The following is a 1,696-nucleotide window of genomic DNA, read 5'->3' on the forward strand; positions in this document are numbered from 1 at the left end:
AAATTTATTTGGTCATTTCCTGTAAAACCAGGACCTCGATTAAATAAATTTTCAAGCTTCACTTCAATCAAACTCTTGTTTGGTGTTGTCATCATCAAACCATTTCAATTTTTTGCTTGAGCTCTGAATAGCCTCATTTACAAACACCTCAAGTTCATGTGGTATTTTGAGAACTTTTCATCATTTTTCTTAAAACTCGAAAGGAGAATAGACTTAAGGCAACTGCTGACATTTGGAGAGATGGGAAAATATGGTATCAAAGATAGGTCTGAGCTTTGAGCCTCAGGTATTGAGGGCTGACCATGGTGTGGCTGATGGAGAAAGTGAGGTGTCAAGAGGAAGAGTGGCCATGCTGGGAACAGGGTGGATGTGCTCAGTGTGAAGCTGATCGTTGTGTAATTTGTCTCAAAGGTGTACGGAGTTTTCCATGTCATATTTTAACATTCTTGAATTCTGGATTGTTGGGGTTTTTTTTTAAGATATAACTAGACATGGATGTTTCATTTGCTGTATATAAATTTAATTGGCCCTGCTTTCTCACTAAGACTTTTGTTTTAATTAGCAAACTCCTCTTCTTTGTAAATCAAGGCCAAGGCCACAATATAAATTTGCATAATAAATGCAAGCAGTTTGAACTTGATCCCTGAAGATGTGAGTTCTCTGTGCACAGAAACCAGTTGAGCTCCCAGCTGGAGTTTGTAGGATTAATTTTCAATGTTCAAGAAGTATTATGGCCAGTGTGTCTCTCCTGCAGGAACTATTTTTGTACCTTTAACAATTTCAAGATTAGTGCTTTTATTTTTCTTTTAATCTTTAGATCAATGGCCAGTTGCACAAAAATGTAATTCCTTTGAGAAGAAAGTCTGTGAGCAAAGAGAAATGGCTTTCAACCCTAACGCATCACAATGAGACAAGGACCCTGTAGATGGCCCCACCTGGGGTTCTCTGTATATGTGCCAAGTGCCTTGTGCTGCTCAAGGCGGGAGTCAGCACTTGTATGACCCACTGCAGATGCTGTTTAAAAATACGCATGGAATTCTCTCTCTGATCTTTTCTGTCACATCATCTCCTTAAAACTCCCAAAAATATTTAGAGGTGATTACAAAGGGCTGAGGACAAAAAAATTGGAAAAAATACAATCACAAATCAATCAATCAAAGGTGTTTATTTGAATACAGGTCAGCAATACATGATTCTCTTATGAGCATTTATCTAAACACTCCTGGCATCCCAACAAATACCTCAGTGTATAAGATGCTTTCATCGAATATAATGCAGTTTTCTTCCTGTTCTTGTTCGTTTTTTGCAGTCTTCATGTTTGTTTGCACCTGATAGCTTTCTCAATTAGAGAGAAGTGAGAGATCTTACGGCTGACTCGCTTGAACACTCCATTAAAACATTTCATGGCATGGTGTGCAATCCCCCAAGCAATCTCATTAAGTGCATATTAGCTTTTTCCAATTTAGAACACAGTCCTTTATGTACAAAGACAAGGGAAAAACTAATAAATACCTATTTTAAGATTAATAAAATCTTAAATGCACCTGTGTGCGGGAAATCATGGGTGCATCCAAGACTTTCATGAAATAATAGAGCTCTTCGTACCCAATGTGGTTCCAGCTCCCTTCAATGATTCATCAGAAACCCAGATCTTAACAAATCAAGCCCTTCGTGGTGGTCGGCCTCACAGTCCCCG

General features: G+C 38.4%; 1 annotated feature.

Moving 5' to 3' along the window:
• Positions 516–1,296: an enhancer, noted in NCBI's record as "OCT4-NANOG hESC enhancer chr15:27890620-27891400 (GRCh37/hg19 assembly coordinates)". NCBI's record gives its function as "activates a minimal SCP1, AML or CMV promoter by ChIP-STARR-seq in primed H9 embryonic stem cells {active_cell/tissue: H9 hESC(primed)}" and the evidence as "EXISTENCE:reporter gene assay evidence [ECO:0000049][PMID:30033119]".

The sequence above is a fragment of the Homo sapiens genome, chromosome 15 (genome assembly GCF_000001405.40).
Source record: "Homo sapiens chromosome 15, GRCh38.p14 Primary Assembly".
Classification (NCBI taxonomy): Eukaryota; Metazoa; Chordata; class Mammalia; order Primates; family Hominidae; genus Homo; species Homo sapiens.